The following is a 25,066-nucleotide window of genomic DNA, read 5'->3' as shown; positions in this document are numbered from 1 at the left end:
TGTTCACTAGTTTAGTGAACTTGGACTTCCCAGCCTCCAGAACTATAAGAAATCAATTTCTGTCATTTATCAGCCACTGATATTTACTCACAACAACTTTAGAGAACATAACTACTTCAAGTAATGAGAATTGACAGTGTCTTATTTCTGCAGGACAAAAGTACCTCACTGAATATTCTGCACTGTCTGGAGGTTTTCATCCTCCATCTCTGCTCCTGTTAGAACACTAGGGGAAGGAACAATGAGGCAAAGGGCTGGGCAGGGAGGCAGACCCTCTCAGCTGTGCTAAACACCACAGTGACCACAGGCCAAGGACTTTACCTCATTGAGCCTCAGTCTCCTCATCTGTAAAATGGGGATAACAATAATAATAACTTACAGATAATAATACCTCACAATAATAATGGCCCACACAGATGCAGTGAGAATTAACTGAGATAATATATGCAAGTACTGGCCAATCCAATTCAGTCCACTTCACCTGGACATATTTTGTAAGCGTCTGCTGTGAACACCGTGTGGGTGGAGATGCAGAGGATGTTGCTCCAGTTCTTAAGGAGTAGAGCGTCTTATAGGGGTGATAGATGGGGTCACACAGAATTATACTATGGGACTGATATGGTGAGTGTCAGGAGCTCCTTGGGGGTGGTGACTGTATCTGATTCGCTTTTGTCTCTCTGGCACCTGGGATGGTGCCTGGCACAGAGAGGTGCCCTATGGAAGCTTGTCAAATGAGGGAATTAATGCATGAGCACAAGGCCTTGGAAGAGATGTAAAAGAAGCACAGAGGACAGAGATGGCTTCATGGAAGAGATTGAGGTGGGCCTTGAAGGATTTTCATCAGGGTTGCAGTGCAGGGGAGTCATTGCAGGTGGAAGGCAGAGGCTAAACAAAGGCATGGAGGTGAGAATTTGGCAGTGAGAACTGAGCAGCACAGGAAGTGTAGAGTCCAGGGTGGTTGGCAGGAGGGTGAGTCCTGGGAGTTGGGGAGAGAAGTTGGAAAGGCGTGCTGGGATCAGATTCAGGCAGAGCTTGGGCTGAGGCCTTGTGCCTCCCCTCTGTAGGCTGCCCTCATCCGCACCTCCATGTGTGGAAGATCTTTGCCACTCCCCTCCTGCCTTTCCATCCAGATCAGTCAACCCTTCTCTGGGCAGCCTCCGGATGCCCACATTGCTTCCTCTTTCTCCCACACTGGACCATGGACTCTGCCTGAGGTATGTGAATTCTTATGTATTGGTGCATTCCCAGTGCCTAGTCCTGTGATGGGCACATTTTAGATGCATAATAAACTTGCTGAATAAACTGCTCACACAATGAAAAGTCCACTTCCACCAGACTCTTCATGATTGAGCCATACCATTAAATTTTTTATTTTGCTAATTTAATAGCTGGAAAGTGGTATCTTGTTTTTGCTTTTATCTTCATTTCTCAAGGCTAAACGTCTTCTATATGATTATCTACTCTCTTAGTTGGTTTGGGCTGCGGTAACAGAATGTCATAGACTAGGTGGCTGATAAATGACAGAAATTGATTTCTCACAGTTCTGGAGGCTGGGAAGTCCAAGATCAAGGTGCTGGCAGGTTCAGTTTCTGGGTAGCGCCTGCTTCCTGGTTCATAGATGGTATCTTCTTGTGGTGTTTTCACATGGCAGAAGGGATGAGAGAGTTCTCTGGGGTCTCTTTTATAAGGGCATTGTATTAGTCTGTTCTCACATTGCTATAAGGAACTACCTGAGACTGGGCGATTTATGAAGAAAAGAGGTTTAATTGACTCATAGTTCCACAGGCTGTACAGGAAGTGTGGCTGGGGAGTCCTCAGGAAACTTACAAGGAAGGCGAAGAGAAAACAGGCACATCTTCACATGGTGGCAGGAGAGAGCGAAAGAAGGGGGAAATGCTACACACTTTTAAACAATCAGATCTTGTGAGAACTCACTCACTATCATGAGAACAGCAAGGGGGAAGTCTGCCCCCATGATCCAATCACACCCCACCAGGCCCCTCCTCCAACACCGGACATTACAATTTGACATGAGATTTGGGAAGGGACACAAAGCCAAACCATATCAGGCATGAGCCCATTCATGAGGACTGATCCCTCATGACCTCTCAAAGGTCCCACCTCCAGATACCATCACATTGGAGGGTTACAATTTCAACATATGAATTTTGAGGGGGCACAAAAACATTCAGTCTATATATAGCATCTACTAAATTAGAATTTCTTCTGTGAAGTGTTTGCCAATTTCCCCTCTCCATACGTCTATTGGATACAAAGTTTTTCTCATTGATTTGCATGGGCAAATTATATAATATGGATAGTAATCATTTATTATCTTCAATGCAGGTATTTTCCCTTATATGAGTGGTTTGTTTTCATTTTGGGGAATTACTCAACACATACAAAGGTTTTGAAATTTTATACAAACTTTTAAGGCTTTTGAAGTTAAATATGTCAAACCAAATTTTCTTAAACTTCTAAACTTAAAAAAAATTATTCTTACTGAAGCTTTGGGAAATAATTTATTTTTTGGTAGAGTTTTTCCATATGGTTTATTTGTACTTGAAATTTCTTTCTTATACTTTCTTTCAATCCATTTGGGTTTTATTTTGGGGTAGGACTGATACCCCCCAGTTCTAAATAATAATCTCAGTACCATCTATTTCATATTTTCCCTGTGTCTGTGATGTCTCCTCTATCAGAGAGTGTGTTTTTATATATAGAGTTAGCATTTATATCCAGCAATCCATGTGTCTTTTCATTTTAGCTGCTATATATATATATATATATATATATATTTTTTTTTTTTTTTTTTTTTTTTTTTTTTTTTTTTTGAAACAGGATCTTGCTCTGTCACTCAGGCTGGAGTGCAGTGGCACAATTTTGGTTGACTGCAACCTCCGCCTCACAGATTCACGTGATTCTTCTTTGCCTCAGCCTCCCGAGTAGCTGGGATTACAGGGGTGCCGGCTGATTTTTGTATTTTCAGTGGAGACGGGGTTTCACCATGTTGGCCAGACTGGTCTCAAACTCCTGATCTCAAGTGATCTGCCTGCCTCAACCTCCCAAAGTTCTGGGATTACAGGTGTGAGCGTGATCTGCCTGCCTCAACCTCCCTAAGTTCTGGGATTACAGGTGTGAGCAACTGCATCCGGCCTTATATGTTTTAATATTTGGTGGGTACATCCTTCTTCATTGCCCTTGCTCTTGATTTTTTGAAACTTCTTGAAGAGTTTCACTCATTTATTCTTCTTGATGAATTTGAGGAACATTTTCTACAAAAACATGAGAGGATTCCAGCAAAATCCTCTTAGAATTTAGGTCATGATTGCATTAAACCCATAACTTCGTTTGGGGAAAATGACACATTCATAGCATTTACCCCTTCCATTGAGGAACATGGAATCTCTCTCTGTTACTTATTTATTATTTTCATAAATTGCGATAAAAATGCATAATTCTCCTCTTGCAGTTATACACATTTCCTATTAAAGTTATTCCAAGTCTCATGTTGATCACTCTGATTGGGCTCTCTTTTTTCCTTGTTTTTTCTTTGTTTTTAAATTTTTTTGTAGAGACAAGGGTCTTGTAATGTTGCCCAGGCTGGTGTTGAACTCTTGGCCTCAAGTAATCCTCCCACCTTGACCTCCCAAAGTGCTGGAATTATAGGTGTGAGCCACTGCTCCTGGCCAAATTTTCCTTTCTATTGACAGATTTCTTTTTTCTTTCTTTTTTGACAGAGTCTTGCTCTGTTGCCCAGGCTGGAGTGCAGTGGCACGATTTCGGCTTACTGCAACCTCTGCCTCCTGGGTTCAAGCAATTCTCCCACCTCAGACTCCCTAGTAGCTGGGACTACAGGTGTGAGCCACCACGACTGGCTGATTTTTTTTTTTTTTTTTTTTTTTTTTTTTTTTTTGAGACGAAGTCTCGCTCTTGTCCCCCAGGCTGGAGTGCAATGGCGCAATCTCGGCTCACTGCAACCTCCTCCTCCCAGGTTCAAGCGATTCTCCTGCCTCAGCCTCCCGAGTAGCTGGGATTACAGGCGCCCACCACCAAGCCTGGCGAATTTTTGTATTTTTAGCAGAGACAGCGTTTCTCCATGTTGGGTAGGCTGGTCTCGAACTCGTGACCTCAGGTGATCTGCCTGCCTCGGCTTCCCAAAGTGCTGGGATTATAGGCGTGAGCCACTGTACCTGGCGGACAAATTTTAATGTGAAGAATGGCCAAGTGGGTGCCTTTGTCAGGTCTCTGAGAGTAGAGGAAGGCTTTCCCTTCATCTCCTCCCATCCAGCAGGGTAGTGGTTGTCTCATCACCTAAGCAGCTCTCCTCCCCGTCTCCACACCTCAGAACATCATGGTTTCCTGCCTGGCGAGCAGCATCCATGTCCTGCTGGCCTTACATCCTACAGCCTCCCTTTTCCCTATTCCCCTCCCCACCAATCCTCCCACCCCACCTCCTGCAGCCACCACCTCTTATAGGCCAGGCACCGTCCCAGAGCTGGGGAGACATCAGCAAAGGAGATGGAGCTTGCATTTTAGAAGGTGTTGGGGAGACAGACAATAAAAACATAAGCGAATAAATGAGATCATTGCCGATGATGTTTAGTGGGCATGAAGGAAACAAATGGAGGCTGAGAAGTTTATTCTAGAATCTTCCTCTTAGGCTTTTAGCCTCCAGTCCAATTTTTGGCCTTCAGCATCTCTGGGAAGAATTTAACTGGTGTCCCGCTGTGCACCCAGATCCCTGCTGTCCCTTCCTCTTCACCCTCAGCCATGGAGGCTGTGGTCTGATCTCCCCATCCTACCCCCCAAGCATTTCTGTGGCTCCATAGCCACTATACCCGACTCCTTCCTGCTTCAGAAAGCACCCCGCTTAGAAACTTCTGGAAGTCTGCATGAACGAGAGGCCCCTTAAGAATCCCCTGAGAGCCCTTGAGGAAAAGGAGTTTCCCTCTACAATTTCACTGAACCAAAAAGAGCCAGGCCCCAGTGGCTGTTCGGCTGACAGTTGTTTCTGTGAAGGAAGGAGCAGCTACTTCCTTCCTATCTGCCTTCCCTTCCCTCTCTCCCTTTCCTCCGACTAAATGAAACCAGAATGTGCTCTGAACACCCTGCTGAAGTCTGGACCATGGGGTAGGACAGAGACAAGCTGTCATTCAGCCAGGTGAGTTCCGGGCAGTCCTATATAGAGGGAGGCTGGGGTGCAGCAGGCTGGGGCCTGGGAAGAGCTTTCCCTGAGGAGGCAGGGAGGCTGGTTCAGCTGTGGTCCTGGCCACAGCCTAGGCTGCAGTGTGGTCACCAAGATACAGGAGGTTGAGGCCTTCCAAGGGGACCCAAAAATAATCATCAGTAAGGCTATGTCTGGGTCCCTACAATGTGCCAGACATAGCATTAGGTGCTGCTCACAACCTGAAAAGTTAGCACCTATTATTCCCATTTGTATGGATGAGAAAATTGAGGCTCAGAGAAATTAGGTATCTTTCCAAAACCACTGGGGTCAGAAAAGCTGTGCTACCAAATTGGACGTGTTGTTTCCCTCCTATGTTCTATCCTAACTGACTCCCTCCCATCCCCGTTTGTTGAAAACCTTCTTGTCCTTAATGCTGCCTCCAGCAAGCTCCCCTGGGGACCAGGCTGGGAGTACGAGTTCCTTCACCAGGTTGCTTGCACTGTTCTTTGTGCCTTGTGTCTCCTGCAGGTGGGCAGTGCCTGGGTCACAGCTGTGTCTCCCACATACCCTGGCACATTGTGGATCTGATTTGATTTGAGGCAGGTGGTAAGCCCTGGCCAGAGGTCTGCACCTTGGATGGCTCCGAGGGCATCCAGTGGTTCTGAGCTCAGCCCGAATTGAAGGGGCCCTCCTTTATGTCTGGAGGGGACAATTTTCTATTCCTGAGGAAGGACCTGCTCAGTCTTCAAGGACTTCTGGTCTGATTCCTGGTTTGGCGGCTGAGAGGTCTGACTGTCAGTGCCCTTAGGGCAGCTCCCTGGTGGAATGGAGTTACCCTGGGGAGGCAGAGAGCGGGTTACCAGGGACAGCTTCTCTGTGGACTCAGGCCTCATGTGTCATCTGTCTTCTTCTCCTTGCCAGCTCCTCTCTTCTCCTCTTCCTCAGAGGCCCTGCCCCTGTCTCCTGGGAACTTCACACCTCAGAATACACACATGTGTCTGTGAGCCTTCAGAATCGTCCCTGAGATATGCACTCTGAAAGATCTCCTTGTGAAGGTGACCTTTTGTCTTGCCCAGGGAGCAAGGAGCTAGGATTTTCCTGACCTTTCCTACTGGGATATTTGCTATCGAGGATTGAGGCTGGAATACCTAGCCTTGTATTATAAAGGCTATCGGTAGAGTCAGATGGGTCTGGGATTGAATCTGGGTTTTGCCTCTTACTACCTTCTTACTACCTAATCCTCACTTCTCTCATTTGTAACTAAAGCTAGTGATAGACTCTACCTCACAGGACTGTGCTAAGAACTAAATGAGGAAATGCTCATAAGGTAGCAAGCACAGTCCTTGGCACATACAAAATAACCAATAAACACGGTCAGTTTCCTCAGTGAAGCTCTAGCCTGCAATTTGGAAGCCATTATGTTACTGGAAAGGGGTGCCGATCCAGACCCCAAGAGAGGGTTCTTGGATCTTGCACAAGAAAGAATTTGAGGTGAATCCATAAAGTGAAACCAAGTTTATTAGGAAAGTAAAGGAATGAAAGAATGGCTACTCCATAGGCAGAGAAGCCCAAAAGGGCTGCTGGTTGCCCATTCTTATGATTATTTCTTGATAATATGCTAAACAAGGGGTGGATTATTCATGCCTCCCCGTTTTAGATCATATAGGGTAACTTCATGATGTTGCCATGGCATTTGTAAATTATCACGGTGCTGGTGGGAGTGTAGCAGTGAGGACGACCAGAGGTCACTCTTGTGGCCATCTTGGTTTTGGTAGGTTTGGGCCGGCTTCTTTCCCACAACCTGTTTTATCAGCAAGGTCTTTATGACCTGTATCTTGTGCTGACCTCCTATCTCATCCTGTGACTAAGAACACCTTAACCTTCTGGGAATGCAGCCCAGTAGGCCTCAGCCTTATTTTACCCATCCCCTATTTGAGATGGAGTTGCTCTGATTCAAACGCCTCTGACAATTACCCAGTGTATCTTGGCCAATCAGCTCCACTGTCCCAGGGATAACAGGATGACTCCATATAACCTAGTCACTTGAGTCCTTTCTTAGATTATATCTTTAATAAATTATTTATTTATTTAATTTTATTTTTTTTGAGGCGGAGTCTCACTCTGTCACCCAGGCTGGAATGCAGTGGTGCGATCATGGCTCACTGCAAGCTCTGCCTCCCAGGTTCACGCCAGCCTCCCAAGTAGCTGGGACTATAGGCACCCGCCACCATGCCTGGCTAATTTATCTTTAGTTAATTTTTTTACTGCTATTTGATATCTCACATTGTTATGGGCAAGCACCATATGGGGAAAGGTTTAAAGAAATACCATGCCTGGGGAACAGTGGGATGCCTTCCTTTCACTGTCAATGACTGTCCATGGGTTCTCAGACTGAACTTGGTTTTGTTAAATCTGCTTTGAGGAGAACTTGAACTTCTTCCTCAGCTTGTGGTGCTTCAGGTATAAAATATGGCTTATTGTTTCAATCTATTCTGCTCCTTCAGACTTCAGAACAGTTAGAGTCAATAAGGATAATAATAATAGCTATGATCACTAACTCAATGAGTGCTGATTACAGGCCAGGCATTGTTTTCTGCCTTGCATGTATTCGCTCTCTCAATCTTCATAACAACCCTATGAGGAGGGATGGTTTGATATACAACAATAAATAATGGGTACAGCCAAGAAGCCAAGGCCATAAGAGATTTAATAGATATGGACCAGGTAGACAAGGATACCTGGAGTCCAGGGGCCAGGGGAGAACTGGAGGTTTGATGCCAGGTGAACAACAGAGGTACTCTAAGAGCATGCCTAAGGGGAAGGTCTGGCAGTCACTCATCCAACAACCAGAGAACAGGGAGAATGCAGACGCAGGCATGCAGGAGGAGAGGAGGGTCCAACACCAAGCAAAATGGACTTCTGGCTGAAGGCACTGGAAACAGCTCAAATTTGCATGAGGGCCTCTGCCTGGGGGCAGGAGCAAATTCTGAGACTTCATCAGCCAGTGCCAGGACCCAGGCAGGAGCCAGTGATCTTGACTAGAGAATGGGAGATGGGATCTCAGAAGAGCCCTCCCAGCACTGTCTGAGAGAAAGCACTGGCAGGTCCCATCTCATTCCCCCTCAAAAGCTTTTCTTTCCTCCATCTTGCCAAGGTGAGGACTCGGAATTTTTTCTTTCTGTGATCAGAGCAGAAAAGCAGAAAAAAAAAGATTGGATTACAACTTTTCCATCTGCATAAACACAACTATGTTTCTTTCTCATCAGAAAAAGGTTTCCCTGACAACTGTGTGTATATGTGTGTGTGTGTGTGTGTGTGTGTGCAGGCGCACACTACAAAATGCAGGCATAGTGTATGATGTAATCTAGTTCTTTTAAAAAATAAGCCTCTGTTTCCTGATTATAAAGTAATATGTTGAACAAAATTTGGAAATTACAAAAGTATATAAGAAAATAAAATTCACCCCAGAGTCACCACCAGAGATAATCACAATGGACAGTGTGGTGATTTCCATCCAGCATTTTTTCGGCATGTTTTTTGCCTATTTTTTTAAAGAAAAGATGGAATCATACTGGATTCTATTGAATTTATACTGAATTTATATTGAATTATATTTCCTAACCTGTTTTTTGACTTATAATCCGAGCACTTTCTCACCTAGTAAACTTCCTTCTAAAACAGTTTAAAAGGTTACGTAGTGTTCTATTATGTCATAATTTATTTCACCACCCCTGTTGGGGATGTAGTTGCTATAGCCTTTTTTATTATACAAAATGTTGAGATGAACATCCTTTGACTTCATTGCCAATTAATTCCTTAATACAGGTATCTAGAAGTCATATTATTGCCTGTTTTATTTATTTTTATTTTATTTTTTTGAGACAGAGTCTCATTTCATCATCCAGGCTGGAGTGCAGTGGTGTGATCTCAGCTCACTGCCACCTCCACCTCCTGGGCTCAAATGTTTCTCCTGCCTCAGCCTCCTAAGTAGCTGTAATTACAGGTGCGCGCCACCACGCCTGGCTAATTTTTGTATTCTTAGTAGAGACGGGGTTTCGCCATGTTGAGCAGGTTGGTCTTGAACTCCTGACCTCACGTGATCCGCCCGCCTCTGCCTCCCGAAGTGCTGGGATTACAGGTGTGGGCCACTGCACCCAGCCTTATTGCCTGTTTTAAAAGATTTTGATTAGTCCTGTGAAATTACCTCATGAAGTGTTACCAATTTATAGTCCTCCTTCACCAGGAGTGTATAAGCATTCCCATTTTATTATACACTTGCCAATATTAAATCATTTCACAAACAAAATCTGGCAATGGTCTTTTAACTCATTTTCCCGTTCTCTTCTGTAGCATATGAAATTTGGCACGGATATAAAAGTTACTTGGCATTGAATCACTTAAGATTACACATTGATTGCTTTAGTGCTGTAGCGATTGCCTTGTTCATTCCTGAATCAACCTTTTAAAAGGGCTTTGCCTTTTAATTTTTTTCTAATGAATAATGAATACTTCACCTGATTGATGTGTCTTGCAGGTAATTTTCCAACAAAGTTGTGCAGATGTTTCATTCATTCATTCATTGCCCTTCCCCGGGATGCTTGCTCAGGCCACACCTGTACCCGTCTAGGGTAGAGGGCAGGCTTTGTGAGCATGGATTCTGGAGTCAGACGGGCCCTCTTTGAAATGCACATTCAATCATTGACTAGCTGGGTGACCTTGAACAACTTATTCATGAGCCTCAGTTTTCTCCTCCTTAAAAGAGGAATAACAGTACTTATTTACGGGATTGCTGTGCAGATTACATGTGACCTAAAGGCCCAGCAAATTAAGAAGGCCTAAGACATGGTCAGAAAGGTAAGAGTCAAGGGCCTTGCTCTAGCTGGCCGTGAGCTGGACCTGTGTCCCTCGCAGGTGACAGTTCCTATCTTGCTCGCCAGCCCCAGCTCCAGCCACGTTGGACTCTTACTTCCCCTCCTCAGGACTTTTTTCCTTGCAGTTTTTGTTTGTTTGTTTTTTGCTAGAATACTGTCCCCAGATGGATATCCATCTCTCATCACTTAGCTCAAATGTCACCGACTCTGAGAGACCCTCCTAGGACTCCCATCCCCCACTGCTCTGACATACAACTCTGTTTTAATTTCCTCAAAGTGCTTAATCCCACGAAATGATCTCATTATTTATTGTTAATTTCCATCCCCTCCATCAGAATGCAGGCACCAAGAGGGCAGGCACTGCCTGCAGGAATCCAGCACAGTGCTGCCCAAAGCAGGTGCTCCACCAAGGCGTACTGAATGAATGGAGTAGGAATAAGGTGATTTTTAGGATCTTGTGCTGGATATATATTTTTTTCTTTTTCTTAAAGTAAAGCACTGCAGTTTTATGATAGATTTAGCTCTCGTGGGTCAAAGCTGTAAATACAGTATTAAAAAATGAGTAAACATGAGAGCTAAGGCTGCCGTCCTGCAAGGTTTCTTTAGTATGTAATGTCTATGAAGGGCTTTGATATCAGACCGATATGGAGAGAATCTCAAATTCTCCACCCAATGGCGGTGTGTCCCTAGTGATGTCTTAACTGCTCTAAGCCTCAGTTACCCTGCATATAAAATGGGAATAATACCCACCTTAGAAAATTGGCTTGGGGATTAAATAGAGAACATATGTGAAGTACCTGCAAACAATTGGCATTTAAAGTTAAATGCTGGCAGTTAAAAAATGGTAGGTATTCTCATGTTCAAGAGAACCAAGGACCAAGTAATGTTAGTCTTTAAGAATAAGAGATGAAAGGAATAATTAATATAGAGTTTTGTTTATGAATGATATTAATGAATATGAATTCATAGTCACTGTTGTTCAGATGGGCAATATTAATCTATGGCACAAGGCTTTACCCCTAGGGCTTTGGAAAAGCCCATCTCTTTCTGCCTAGATGTCTTTGGGTGTATACAGTTAATATTTCATTAATTATGGTGGAGGGGCGTTGTGTGTACATCAATGTCTCATATGATGCATCTAATTAAGGCACTTTTTGTTGAGAGCGGAAGAAAATTGGGCTTTCCCAAAGAAAAGCAGCTTGCTCCCAAAGTTGCTAACAGATTGCTTCTTAATTGAACTTGGGAGGTGAATTATATGGTGAATTAGAAAAAAGAACAGCTCTGAATTTAGTGAATTGTTCCATAAAGGAAACTGTGGGATTGAATTGCAAATGCTGGATAGAAACATTTCAGCCGGGCCCATGCATCACGGGCCGCTGACCTCTGCTGTGTTTCAGTGAGAGCTTGAACAGGCCGGGAGCTCTCTTTTCAAGGCCTGGAGGGCATTCTTTCCCAGAGACCAGCTGTAAGCCTGGGTTTCTTATGCAAAGGAGACGTCTGAATAAACCTCTGTGACTAATGAAATCTACAAGGTCTTTGCATATCCTCTCACCGAAGAGGTAATTAAGCAAAGATCAAATATGGGGATATATATGTATTTTTTTCAAACTTTTTTTTTGTCTTGCAATCACACCCAAGGAAAAATACATCCCCATACCCTGAAAACTCTCCCCTCCCAGCCCTCAGTCTTTGTCTGCATCAGGCTGTTTCTCTCTTCCTTGTTCTATGGTGCCTGCAGCTGCAGTTATAGCCAGAGCCACACCTGTCGTACTCATTTGCCAGTTTTTATTGAAACGGAGAAACGCTTTTCATCGATTTCGATGTGAGACATGGCTTTTGCTAGTGTTCAAAGTGTCTGTCTCCAAGTCCATGTCTTCCGTTCCTGGTGAGCTCAGGAGGAGAGAGGTTGGGAGTAAGAAAATAGTACAAGGTGAGGCTTCCTCTTACAGGGTGCTCTGAGTGGCAAATCTAAACCTTGGCTGTACCATAGAATCACCTGGGGAACTCTTTAAACTCCCCATTCCCAGGCCATGCCCCAGACCAATTAAATAAGAACCTCCGGCGGGGGTGGGACCCAGACGCCAGTATTTTTTTAAAGGCTTCCCAGGTGATTCAAATCGCAGCCAAAGTTGAGAGCCATTGTTTGAAGAATAGTTGCCTCCTTCTCTCCATAAAAGCTGATAAGGACAATTTTTTTCCAACAGTTGAGTTAGAAATGATTGATTTCTCTTTTTAAACACTGCCTACGTGACTCGTATGTCCATCCATCCATCCATCCATCCATCCATCCATCCATCCATCCATGCATTCATTCACCCACCTACCCATCCATCCATCCCTTCATCCATCCGTTCTGTATTTTACTCAGTACCTGCCATGTGCCAGGTCTGGTGCTGGGTATTCATTGTTAGACATAACAAAATCCCTTCCTTCAAGATGTGAAAAGCTAAATCATGGGGGATTCAGCTGAGTAAATGGATCCCAGTACCTTGTGGAGAGGGTGGTGAATAAGGCCAGGGGCTGTGGGAACAGAGAGAATGACTTTTACCCCAAGAGGAGCAGGGGGGCGGATACTCAGAGGAAGTGGTGTCTACATGGAGACTTGAAGGACCAGTAGGGTTTGGCCAGATGAAGAGGTGGGTGTGGTTGAGGAAAGTGTGCAATAAGAGGAAAATAGAAAGCCAAGGCACTCTAAGTCACTTATTGCAGCTGAGCACAGAGTGGCAGTGGAGGGAGTAGGAGAGGAGGCTTGAGGTACCTTGTGGAGCAGGCTGGCAGGGCCATATCACTAAGGGTCTCATCAGTGGTGTTAGGAGGTGGAATCTATCCCAAGGGCAGGGGGGAGCCATGGAAGGGTTTTCATCAGGAGATGAAATGTGGCCAAGCCACATTAACTCCAGGTAGGTCCCCGGTAGACAGTGCTGGAAGCATGAGATTTGCTTCCTTTCTGAGATAAAAGACAGAACCTTCCATCTCTTGTTGATAAGGACAGGGGAGGGCTCTATATTCTTAACTGCCATGGCTCCAGCCTTATCTCAAGCTGAGCTAGACCCATGACTTCATATGTCTTCTTACAGACCTCCTGGATGGGCAATGCCTTGTATCCCCTGGGAATAAGCAGCCTCTACCAGGCACCTCCCTTGTTCTCTTCGTTCTTTCTGTGACTGAGGCTGAAGAGAAGGAGTACAGGCTTGGGGGTCAGACAGGACCCACCTCCAGCCATCACCTTTACTAACTCTCTCTGCTTCCTCAAGACAAGCAAGTCATTTCACCTCTTGGAGCTTTGTTTCCTAATCTGTTCATGGTCCGTTTGTTATTGGGTCTTCATGAGACTGCACATATAAAACTGAAGGTGAGGAAAAGCACTTGGCACTGTTCTTAGCACATGGTTTGCACTATAATTGGGACTTAGTAAACACTAATTCTTTCCCCCCTCCATCACTGGGGGGCACTTGGTCTCCCCACTCCTATTCACTACATATTATCCCTGTCATATACAAAACCAGTGCAGTTACAAAGCCCTTTCCTGTCCTCTGGATCCCATCTAGTTCACTCAGAATAAAAGCCAAAATCCTGAATGGCCTGCAAGGCCCCATATGAGCAGATTCTCCAGACCCTCCACTGCCTGCTGACCTCATCATCTCCTTGTCTCTTCCTCACTCATTCCATTCCAGTCGTACCCACCTCCCCCCGGCCAAGCACACTCCCACCCCAGGGCCTTTGCACTTGCTGTTCCCATAGTTTGAAATGCTTCTCTCCAGATATCCACCTACATCCTCCAGACCTAAATATCTGGTTCGCTATTTGTTTGTCATTTTTTCCCCTACCCTTCATCAGAATATAATTTCCATGAAGTCAAGGTACAGTTTCTTCTGCATCATATCCCAAGCAGCAGACACAGCGTCTGGCCTGTAGCAGGTGTTGGATAGATACTTGTTGAATGAACGAATGCCCAAACAAACCCATTACCTCATTTGGTCCTTGCAATAGTCCATTTGACAGATGAAAAAATACTAACACCCGAGTTCCCCACCACAGTTGCACAGCTGAGTGAGGCTGAGCTAGACCCAGAGCGTCGGCTCCAGCTCGCCTCCACACCACAGGTGGTACATTTGTCTGCTGCTGAGAGATTTCATACCATCAGGAATTCCCCTGACCTTTAGCCCGAGAGGAAATGATATTGCTGCAACTGGATGAATACCCAGAGGGCCAGGAGCTGGCAGCGAACACCCGGCAGCTGCAGGGAGTGTGTGAGTGGATTCCGGGTTGGCCAGGAGGCAGCGGAACGAGCAGGATGCAGGCGCGGAGCCTCCCATCTCCGCCTGGCTGTAGTGGGACCTTCTCTACAGGAGACCTGGCAGCTGCAGCCACTGCCCAGGTCATGGTCACAGAGAGGGAAAGTGATGGCCTGCATGTGAGGAGTTGGGAGCGGGACCACGTGGCTGTCTCCAGGGTCATACAGGCCTAGGGGTTGGGTTCGTGGTGCCATGTGAGCCTTGGTTGAGCAGCGTGGGAAGCCTTTATCTGTGGGGCCAGGGAAGACCACCGGGTGTCTGACCAGGAGACTGTGTCCCGAGCCCTTAGCTTCCCTGATGGGCTGGGCAACCCTGGGTTAAACATTTTGTGCCTCAGTTCTCTCCTCTGGAAAATGGGATTACACATAAAGTGTTCTGATAAGGGTTAAAGGGGAGACTGGGAAACTGACTTGTAAGCTGTAAGTTTCTAAATAAATGCAAGAAATAATATTTTTGTTTAAAAATAGATTGTCCTTTGGTTGCTTTGATGTGGTTTCGTGTGTGTAATAGTCTCTCCTGGACATAGTCTTTGTCCTCAAATCTGCTCCCTGGTGTCACTACCCACCCAGTTATTCAAATTCCAAGGGCAGGTGGCATTGGTGGCCCCTGTCTTTCCTCAGATCGAATCCACTAGCCCTACCTGCGAGCTCTGCCTATGACTGTTCCCTAACACGACAGGTCCCAGCACCTCCACTGCAGTGTCTGGTCCACACCACCACCCTGTCTCACTCGGACACTTGCAAGGCTCCTAACTGTTCACCCCGCTTCTGCTTTTGTCTGCCTGTGTCCCAGGGCAATCTTGGTAAAACACAGATAAAAACACATTCCTCTCATGCTTTAAACCCTCTGCAGGGTTCCTGTAACAAAGAGAATAAAGTCACAAAACACAGCCTGGTTGGCAAGGCCGTGTGGGCCTGCCTCCCTCTCTGGCCCTGTTCCCACTTGCCCACTGCGGCTGTCCCTCTCATGACAAGCCCAGTCCCCGTCTAGGCTCCTTCTGGATCCTTCCCCTGCGGAGGATCCTCTGGCCAGATCTCCACATGGCCAGATCATTCCTGCCTTTCAGATCTCACTGCCATCCCACCTACCTGAGGCCCCTCTCCAACCACCAGATAAGCAGCTCCTCCCATCACGTTCTATCACACATTGGTTTTGATCTTCTTCAGAGCATTTTCCAAACCTGCAATGATCTCATTCATGAATTTACTTACCTGCGGTTTATGGTCCAGCTTTCCAATTAGAATGGACACCTCTTGAGAGCAGGAACTCACCTGCCTCGTTCACTGCTGGATCCATGGTGCCTGGAATTGCACCTGGCCCATAGTAGGTCAAACAGATATTTGGTGATTGGCCACATTCCTGGTAGAGACAAATGTTAACACAGTTTATAAATGATGGCTACTAGCAAACACGTACAAGCATCACTGTCCTTCGTAAACAGAGTGTCTATGGAGTCTAATTTATAAGGTCAACACAGTAGGTTCCTACACGGAGGCTTACCCCACAGAGGAAACCCGAATACTAAGAGAGTGCACAGGGTAACAAAGGCAGCAGTCACAGGACGCATTGAGTATTCGGCAGCACTGGGCACATCTCCCTGTGTTCTGCACCAAGCGGACTCCAGGCCCAGAGAGGATCCTATTTGCATTTGGCCTTTCTTATGGAGGTGGGGGGCGCGTGAGGAAGCTGATTTTGGGGTTGCCTGGTAACTTTGTAAATTTGATTCTGGGTGCTCTTGAAATGATCCAGGAGAGTTATACTTTATATTAATTTGCGACTGATGTGTGTGGTTATTAAACAAAGCAGGTTCGTTTTTGCCCTCACATCTAGAATAGTGTGGGGCCATGTGGTAAGGGCTCAGTTGATTTGTGGAACGAAGCTTACGAATCCGTGGTGATTCTGATCCTCCCCAGGTGACCAGGTTTGCTCCCTCATCCCTTGGTGCTGATGCAGAGAAGGCTGATGTGTCCTCATGCCTCTTTCTTCTCCATTCCTCTAGGTGGGCTTGAAGAGCAGGCATCTGAGAGCAGCCCAGACACCACAGCCATGGACACTGGCACCAAGGAAGCTGGAAAGGGTAATGTGAGCCCTCACCAGGTCTTTGGGTACCTTGTTTTCTTTCAGTTGTGGAAAAATACACGTGACATAAGACTTACCATTTTAAAGCATACCCTTTAGTGGCATTAAGTACATTCACAATGCTATGTAACCATTACCCCTATTGAGTTCCAGAACTTTTTCATCACCCTCAAAGCAGACTCTGTACTCATGAAGCAGTCACTCCCATTCTCCCTTCCCTAGTCCATGGCCTTGGATAGCTCTTATGGAATCTTTTCCTATCTCACTGGCTGAGATGGACTAGAAGCACTGAAGTCTGTGGACGTGAGCGGGGCTGGCGTGCTGCTGGCGAAAGGGATGGAAGGGCGGCATTTGGTGGTCAGGAACAGCATAGCTCTCAGATAAACTCTGCTCTCTTGGCTGGACTTTTCTGCCTTGTGCATGGATCGTGAGTTGAAGCCCCTGAAGACCTGGGAGGGGCAAATAATGTGGCTTTGAGAACTGAGTGTCTGAGAGAATGAATGGGTGAGGGAGGCAAAGAAGAAAAATAAAACTGGAGTGGGGATTGTGGGGGAGGTGTAGACTAGAGACTCCATGGTCTACTAAGTGGGAAGCAGGTGAGGTGCTGGTTGGCTGTGGGCAGGTAGCCAGGAGCCTGCCCAGAAGCACTGCCACTGCCTGTCTATATGCAGATGCTCAGACCTAAGTGTGGTCTGCTGGTTGTTTAAGAGTTTCTAGCTCGGAGATCACTGGACACATCTATTGTGGAGAAGCTTCTCCTGTTCAGAAGCAGTGCTGGAGGAGAGGGGCTGCTGGACTTCCCGTCTGGCCTGCATCCTGCAGGAATCATGATTCACAGTCAGCAGTGGTATTTCTTCTACACAAACTTCACAGCAAAGCAAAAGAAAAATTTTTTTTTTTGAGGTGGAGTCTCGCTCTGTCGCCCAGGCTGGAGTGCAGTGGTGCGATCTCAGCTCACTGCAAGCTCCGCCTCCTGGGTTCACGCCATTCTCCTGCCTCAGCCTCCCGAGTAGCTGGGACTACAGGCGCCCGCCACCGTGCCCGGCTAATGTTTTGTATTTTTAGTAGAGACGGGGTTTCACCGTGTTAGCCAGGATGGTCTCGGTCTGCTGACCTCGTGATCTGCCCGCCTCGGCCTCCCAAAGTGCTGGGATTACAGGCGTGAGCCACCGCACCTGGCCAAGGAATAATTTTTAAATGCCAGAATCTTATGTCTCACGGACGCCTATGTAGGAATGAAATAGAAATCATTATTTATTTTGTGTTTCAGCTTTCATGCTATTTTACATTTTTACATATATACTTGCATATATGTAATTTTACACAAATGCATAAATGTGATAATATCATCATACTTTTAAAAGTGTTATCTTCTTTTTCTTTTCTCTTTAATGTGGCCACCTCCTTTCAGGTTCTTTTTTCCACATATCAACCCTCTACGCTTTCCCAGGTTATGCATGCTAGTGACTTTGTATACAGCCTTCATATTTTTCTCCATGCACATACATTGATATATATACAGAGATATATGTATATAAGCATACATCTAAACATAAATACAGATACAGGCTTTGTCATTGTTTTAAAACATAGAATCATATTTGATACACATTTTTTCTGCATCATGCTTTCGTCATCAATACCTCATGGGCACAACCCCTCCAAGGCACTAGTTATAACTTAAATGTATTCTTTTGAGTAGATATTACTGATATGGATGGATCATAATTTATTCAGTGTTTTCCTTATCAATTAGCATTCAGTTCACTTCAAGCTTTTGCCGTGATGAATAATGACTGCAGTAAACGTTACTGAACATATATCCGTACATATTTAGTGTGCTTGTAATAGATGTTGCTAGGTTGTGTTTCAAAAGGTGTAACAATTCACATTTCCATAGCAACTTATAAGTGTACTCCTTTCCCATATTCTTACTAGCAGTAGGGAGAACTCATTATCAGTGTTTTTAACAAGTAAGCTGTGGCTTATTGATATTTAATTTGTACTCCTCTGACTGCTGGTGCCGTTGAACATTTTTTCCTATGTTTGTCAGTGGGAATCGCCTCTTCCTGTCCTGTGCCCATTTTCCTATTGGGTTGCTGATCTTCCTCTTCAATCTGACTTCTTTTAGAGAGAGGCAGATCCTTTAGTCACCCATGTAACTAATCTGCATTTGTTTCTTAGCTATACAGCTTGTTGTTTGGGCTATGTGCAGGGCTTGCTTTCAGATCCGCGTTTTTCTGCTTTGCTTATTTAAGGATATTTTGACTTATAAGTTTTTGGGCTCCCCAGACATCTGGTACTCAATGGTCCTTCACTTTGCCACAAATGATCAGCACTTAGTGGTAAAAATGGAGCATGTGTGAATGAATCCAGCAGAGTTTGTCATCACACTGCAGTGACAAAGATGCCACACTCATTTTTCTTCCTTATTTATGTGATTTATTGTTGCATAAAGACCACACCCAAACTTAGTGACTTCAAACAATAGTTTGTTATTTTCATGATTCTGGGGGTTGACTGGGTTCAGTAGGGTGGTTCTTTGGCTGATGCCATCTGGGGTCACTCACTTGACTGAATTTATCTAGCAGGTGGACTGGGCTGGAAGGTCCAAAAAAACTTTAGCTACACCTCCAGTGCCCCAGTGTGCCTCCTTGTGGCCCTGCTCTCCATGCAGACTGTCACCATTCAGTTGTCTAATCAGAAACTTTTCATAGCATGGTGATTGGCTTCCCAGAGGGAAGGAACAGAAGTTGCCAGTCCATTTAAGGCCTGGACTCAAAACTTCAAGAATGCTACTTCTGCTACGTTCTGTTAACAAAATAAGCCAAACGACCAGACCAGATTCAAGGAGAGAGAAATAGATTCTACTCCTTCACGAGAGAAGTGGCATGACCTCACAGGGATAAGGGGACTTGGCGGCCATATTTGGAGACTATCTACCACCTTCCCCCCTTGCCTCTGCTCCCCAGCAATAGATATTGTCAGAGTTTTTGATATTTACTAGTTCGTTGGGTGTAAAATGACCCAACTATAAACTTGGACAGTCAGACACACTTGGGTTTGAATCCCAGCTCACCCACTTAGTAGCTATGACTTTGGATAAGTTATTTAACTGCTTGTATGAGGTTTAGAGGGAATTAGAAATAATATTTATGTAAAGCACATAGCCAGGTGTCTGGAACTTAAAAGAGGCTCAAGGAATGTAGCTCTTCCACCTCCACCTCCAGGAATTATATTATCCAGCATTGAAAGTGCATCATCTACCTCTGGACTGGGATTCCACAGCTGTGCAACAGCTGCATAGAAACACAATTACAGAGGACAGGAAGGAAGACGGCGGCTGTGGCCCATTAAAATTCTGCCTCTGGTGGGGTTGTGCACAGCACCCACACTGCAACAAAAAATCTTGGGCTTTTCAGGGAGGGTGATGATAGCAGTGCCCTAGTCTGCAGTTCCCCCAAATGGCCCTGGTTTGTTCGAAGCGGATAAGGAATGTGCAGGCTAGGCCAGTCCCTTCACTCTGCATTACAGCAGCAGACAAGCATGTCTTTAAGCATCCAGGGCAGTCCTGAAGAGGAAGGAAATCTCGAAGTGAGGTGAGGGCAGGCCGTTCTAACCAGTCCCTCCATCCTTCCCATCCCAACCCTCAGGATGCTGTCGGCGCCAGCGCTGGATGCCTCTTGCTTTTATTTGAATGAAAGATAAGACACGTTGTGTCAATCTCAGGTTCCCTTTAATCACAACTTGCCCCCCTTCCACCACCCCCAGGAAAAGAGACCGCCCAGGCAGGAGAAAGGATCTGAGGGAAGCGCCCAGTTTCGGCAGCAGGTTTATTTCCTGGCATTATGTGGCTCCCCTCAGCCCTGACGGTGGGGATTTGTGCCTCCAGCTTTGGGGAGGGGGAAAGGGCTGAAATGCTCACTCAACATCCCCTCCGGCAGACCCTTTGGTCAGAAGGCTCTCCCTCCTCTGGAGATGAGAGCTCAGCATGCATTTCAGGGCTGATAATGGGATTAATGAAATGGAGTGTGCAACTGCTCCATGAATGAAGCTGTGACTGTTTTGATAGAGCCTGATTTCCAGAACCATATTCATGAAAGAGAATGGACCTTTCACTTTCAGTAACATTTCCTAGGGGCTTTGTGTGAAAGCAAATAATAATGGAATCTGGTTGAACCAGAGGACAGGCATCCCACAAACTTGGGTGCAAAACAGCACTCGACGCTGGAATTCCTAACATCACTTACGTCAGTTTACTTGGGTGTAACAACTGAGCCCCACGAACTTCAGGCCTTCCTTTTTAGCCTGTCTCAAATGCAGACTTTCGTAGCCATTGTGGCAGCTCACACTGAGCCCTTACTCACCGCAGGCATTTGACATTCATTACCTGGGTCACCACCGCCCTGCAGCAGGAAGTGAGGCTCCGAAGGGGAAGTGATTTGTCCAAAGCCATGTAGGTAGCAAATGGCAGCATTTATCTTGAGCTTAAGTCCCCCTGACCCCAAACCCCTTGATCTTAACCTTTGGGCTGTATCAGTGGTTCCCAAACTTCACTGAGCTTTGTAATCACCTGGGGAGCTTTAGAAACTGCAGGTGCCTTGACTCCACTCTAAGGCCAATTGATTCTCAGTCTCAGAGCAGGGAGGCAGACACCAGAATTTTTTAAAAGCTCCCCAGTTGAATCTAATGTGCAGCCAGGTTTGAGAACCACTGTGCAGAATGGTCTAGTCTCCCCTTTACTTAGCGGCCTTCAGCCTTTCGAGATTGCTGCAGGTGAGGTGCAAATTCACCCATCACCTTTGGGGTGAGGGTTATGCAGATGGCTGGGCTGTCAGCGTGTTTACTTCCCGTGTGGGAATGACCAATTGCCTAATCTAAAAATTGCACTTCCTCACTGGAGAAGGCTGCCTCAGGCCTGGTTCTGTTTATGACATGGCTGTGCCTTCAGCTGGAAATAGAAGATTGAAAAGCAACAACCGCTTTGCTCTTTCAGAGAGGACAGGGCTCGCTCCCAGAGCCAGAGAATTTAAATGGGCTTTATCCCCCCTCAACCCTACCCCCAGCGTGTTAAATCCTGTCAGACGCCCTGAGCTCCTCTTCAAATGCAGGACTCTTGGCCATAATAAATAATTACATCCTTCTATTTGGACTCCGATTCCAGATAGTAGTAATCCAAGAAAATCCAATAATGACAGTTGCATTAAGATCCTTCTTCCAGGCTAAGCAGAACATCTGTTTAGACATATTTTTAATCGGCAAATGCTTCCTGTGTTGAGTCCTTAGCAAATTAAATTTCTCACTGGACCAAAGGGGAAGCTGTCATTCAATAACCCATTTCTGGAAATTACACCCTAGCTTCTTTCCAGGTGCACTTAAGATTTTCCCATGCTGACTTGGCTGCATAAAACAGACCCTTATAATACCAGGTCACATGTATATGCAGCACAGCTTGTCAGAGAAACACGGAGTATCTTAGTGTTATTTCTTTGAATAGAGAAGTATTTTTGCCCATTCTCCAAAGGAGAGTTGGCGACAGAGGAAAATTAAGAGACTTGTTGAAAACCATATGGGAAATGAGTAACAAACTTCCACTTGCTACATTGCTGCCTGTGATTACTTAAGACTGGATAATTCTCAGGATGTAAACATTAAGGGCTTCAGTGTTGCCAACATTTTGGAGAGGTTTCCAACACAGAGTTGTTTGGACTGTTGGGCTGTTTATTTTTAGAATAGCTCATCCCTTCTTTAATTCATACATTCAAAATATAAAAATATTGAATGCTCACCACCAGTCAGGCACCATGCAGGGTGTGGAGAATAAAGTGGAGAACAAGCTGGCAACATTTCTTGCCCTCATGGAGCTTCCAGTCTACCAGAAAAATTCACATTTGACATCTTGATGCAATTTGTAGTTTAGGGCTGGAATAGCAAATTAGAATATCTTCCGTAGAGGGCAGGTAGGTCATCTAAAAGGTGAAGTAAGCTGAATAGGACAATGTGAAGGGGGAGAGAGATTCTAGCAAACAGAACATGTGCTCTGACTATGGAGAGCAGGTGCTTCTAAACTCCAGCTGGTTGTACTATGATGGAAGATGGGCCTGCTGTTGCCAAATCTTTCAGTTTTTAAAGAAAAACTAGAAAATCTGGATTCTTATGTGAAATCCCTTGATTTTTAAAAGTTGGCTCGTACAGGGAGATTTTTAAAAAAACATAGTGTGGGCCAAAAGTGTCCAGGCCAAACAGAAACACATCTGCGGGTTGGGTTTATCCCAGCACTGCAAGTGTATGACTTCTGTTCTAGAAATTCTGGTGGTAAGATAATTATTTTCAGGTTTAACAGTGTATTACATACCAACTTTCTGGGTCTGGAAATATGACCAACTAGATGAGTAGGAACCCGTTATACAAGTAGAGGAACACTGAAAAAAATATTACCTTTTCACCACCCCAAGTGAAAAATACAGAGTTGAGTTCAAAGGAAAGAAAGGTGAATGGCCATGATCAGAAGCGAATAAGGAACATAACTCACAGAAGGAAGCCTCAGATGTTGGTGATGTTAGCAGCAGCAAATCCATACAGGTCTGCAGCAATTTGATTCTTGCCTCCTCGGAGGAAAGAATTCAGCCAAGGGGCATAAGGCAGAGAGAGAGAGAGACCCAGGCAAGTTTTAGAGCAGGAGTGAAAGTTTATTGAAAAGTTTTAGACACCTGTAATCCCAGCACTTTGGGAGGCCAAATAGGGTGGATCACTTGAGGCCAGGAGTTCAAAACCAGCCTGGCCAACATAGTGAAACCCTATCTCTACTAAAAACACAAAAATCAGCTAGGCATGGGTGCACATGTCTGTAGCCCCAGCTACTTGGGAGGCTGAGGCAGGAGAATCTCTTGAACTTGGGAGGTGGAGCTTGCAGTGAGCCGAGATCGCACCACTGCACTCCAGCCTGGGCAACAGAGTGAGACTCCGTCTCAAAAAAAAGAGACAACCCTAAAACCGAATTAAACTTACATGCAGAAATCCTTAAAAAAATTAGCAAATGAAATCCAACAATGTACAAAAAAGAATTATACAGCATAACCCAGTGGGATTTATTCCAGGTATGCAAGGCTGATTCAACATTTGAAAATCAGTCTATAGAACCCGCTAAATCAACAAGCTAGTAAAGAAGAATCCTATTATCACAGCAATTGATGAAGAAAACACATTTAACAAAATCTAACACCTATTCACGATAAAAACTCAACAAATTAGGAATAGAGAGGAATTATCTTAACTTGATACAGAGTGTCTAGAAAAAAACCTACAGCTTACATTATACTCAATGGTCGAAAGACCAAACACCTTTTCCCAAGACCAAGAACAAGGCAAGGATGTCTGCTTTCGTACTGTCATTCAGCATAGTTCTGGAAGTTCCAGACACTGCAGTAAAGCACGAAAAACAAAGAAAAGGCAAACAAGTTGGAAAGGAAAAAATAAAACTGTCCCTGTTTGTAAATGACATGTTTGTCTACATAGAAGATCCTAAGAAATCTATTAAGGAAAAAGAAAAGCCCAAAAACCTCCTAGAACCAATCAATGAGTTCAACAAAATTTCAGAAATACAAGGCCAGCACATTTCTATATTGGAAATATAAAATTCTATAATGGCTCACATTTCTATATTCTAACAATGAACATACAGAAACCAAAATTAAAAATACAATGCCATATACGCAATCACTCCAAAGAAGATGAAATACTTGGATATACAGTTAACAAAATTCGTACAGGATTTGTGTGATGAAAATTAAACAATGCTGCTGAAAAAAATCAAGACAGACCTAAATCAGTGGAGAGATATGCTGCATCCCTGGTTTGGAAGATGCATAGAGTAGAGGTGCCAAGTTCTCTCCAGATTGTTCTATAGGTTTAATGCAATTTCTATCTCAACATGGTTTTTTATTTTCATTTTTTGCAGGCATAGACAAGCTTATTCTAAAATTTATATGGAAAGACAACTAAAACAATTATGAAAAAGAAGACTGAAGGGGTGTAATCACTCTACCCCATATAAGGCTTACTCTGTAGCTACAGTAATCAAGATGGTATGGCATTGGCAGAGTGATAAACATGTAGACCAATGGAATAGAGAACCCAGAAATAGACCCAATTACTATATGAGCCAGTAATTCCCTCTTTGATATGTGTCCCAGAGAAATGAAAACTTACCTTTACACAAAAATCCGTACATGAATGTTCATAATGGCTTTATTTGTAATAGCAGGAAACAATCCAGATATCCTTCAACAGGTGAATGGGTAAACAAACTGTGGTTCATCCATACCATGGACTACTACTCAGCAATAAAAATAAACTATTCATACAGGCAACAACTTAGATGAATCTCCAGGGAATTATGCTGAGTGAGAAGAGCATAATTATTATCCCTATTATATGCTGTATGATTCTATTTATATGATATTCATCAAATGACAGAATTTTAGAAATGGAAACAGACTGGTGGTTGCCAGAATTTTGGAATGGATGGAGGAAAGGGGAAAGAGGGGTAGATATTGTTATAAAATAACAACATGGGGGATACTTATGGTGTTGAAACTGTTCAGTATCATGAATGTGGTGGTAGATACACAAAACTGTAAGTGTGATAAAAT

General features: G+C 44.7%; 1 protein-coding gene across 1 annotated transcript in view, besides 2 other annotated features; it reads left to right on the top strand.

Annotated features, from left to right (window-relative positions):
- Positions 1-25,066, top strand: part of TLL2 (tolloid like 2) — a 149,319-nt gene that overhangs the window by 51,423 nt on the left and 72,830 nt on the right. The window contains exon 3 of the mRNA NM_012465.4: positions 16,336-16,413. Coding sequence (NP_036597.1) covers positions 16,336-16,413 — 78 coding nt within the window. The remainder of the gene's footprint in view (positions 1-16,335; positions 16,414-25,066) is intronic.
- Positions 11,269-11,770: an enhancer, noted in NCBI's record as "OCT4-NANOG-H3K27ac hESC enhancer chr10:98210491-98210992 (GRCh37/hg19 assembly coordinates)". NCBI's record gives its function as "activates a minimal SCP1, AML or CMV promoter by ChIP-STARR-seq in primed H9 embryonic stem cells {active_cell/tissue: H9 hESC(primed)}" and the evidence as "EXISTENCE:reporter gene assay evidence [ECO:0000049][PMID:30033119]".
- Positions 19,720-20,358: an enhancer, noted in NCBI's record as "H3K27ac-H3K4me1 hESC enhancer chr10:98201903-98202541 (GRCh37/hg19 assembly coordinates)". NCBI's record gives its function as "activates a minimal SCP1, AML or CMV promoter by ChIP-STARR-seq in primed H9 embryonic stem cells {active_cell/tissue: H9 hESC(primed)}" and the evidence as "EXISTENCE:reporter gene assay evidence [ECO:0000049][PMID:30033119]".

This window comes from Homo sapiens, chromosome 10 (assembly GCF_000001405.40).
Source record: "Homo sapiens chromosome 10, GRCh38.p14 Primary Assembly".
Taxonomy (NCBI): domain Eukaryota; kingdom Metazoa; phylum Chordata; class Mammalia; order Primates; family Hominidae; genus Homo; species Homo sapiens.
This window is presented reverse-complemented; position numbering and strand designations above follow the sequence as displayed.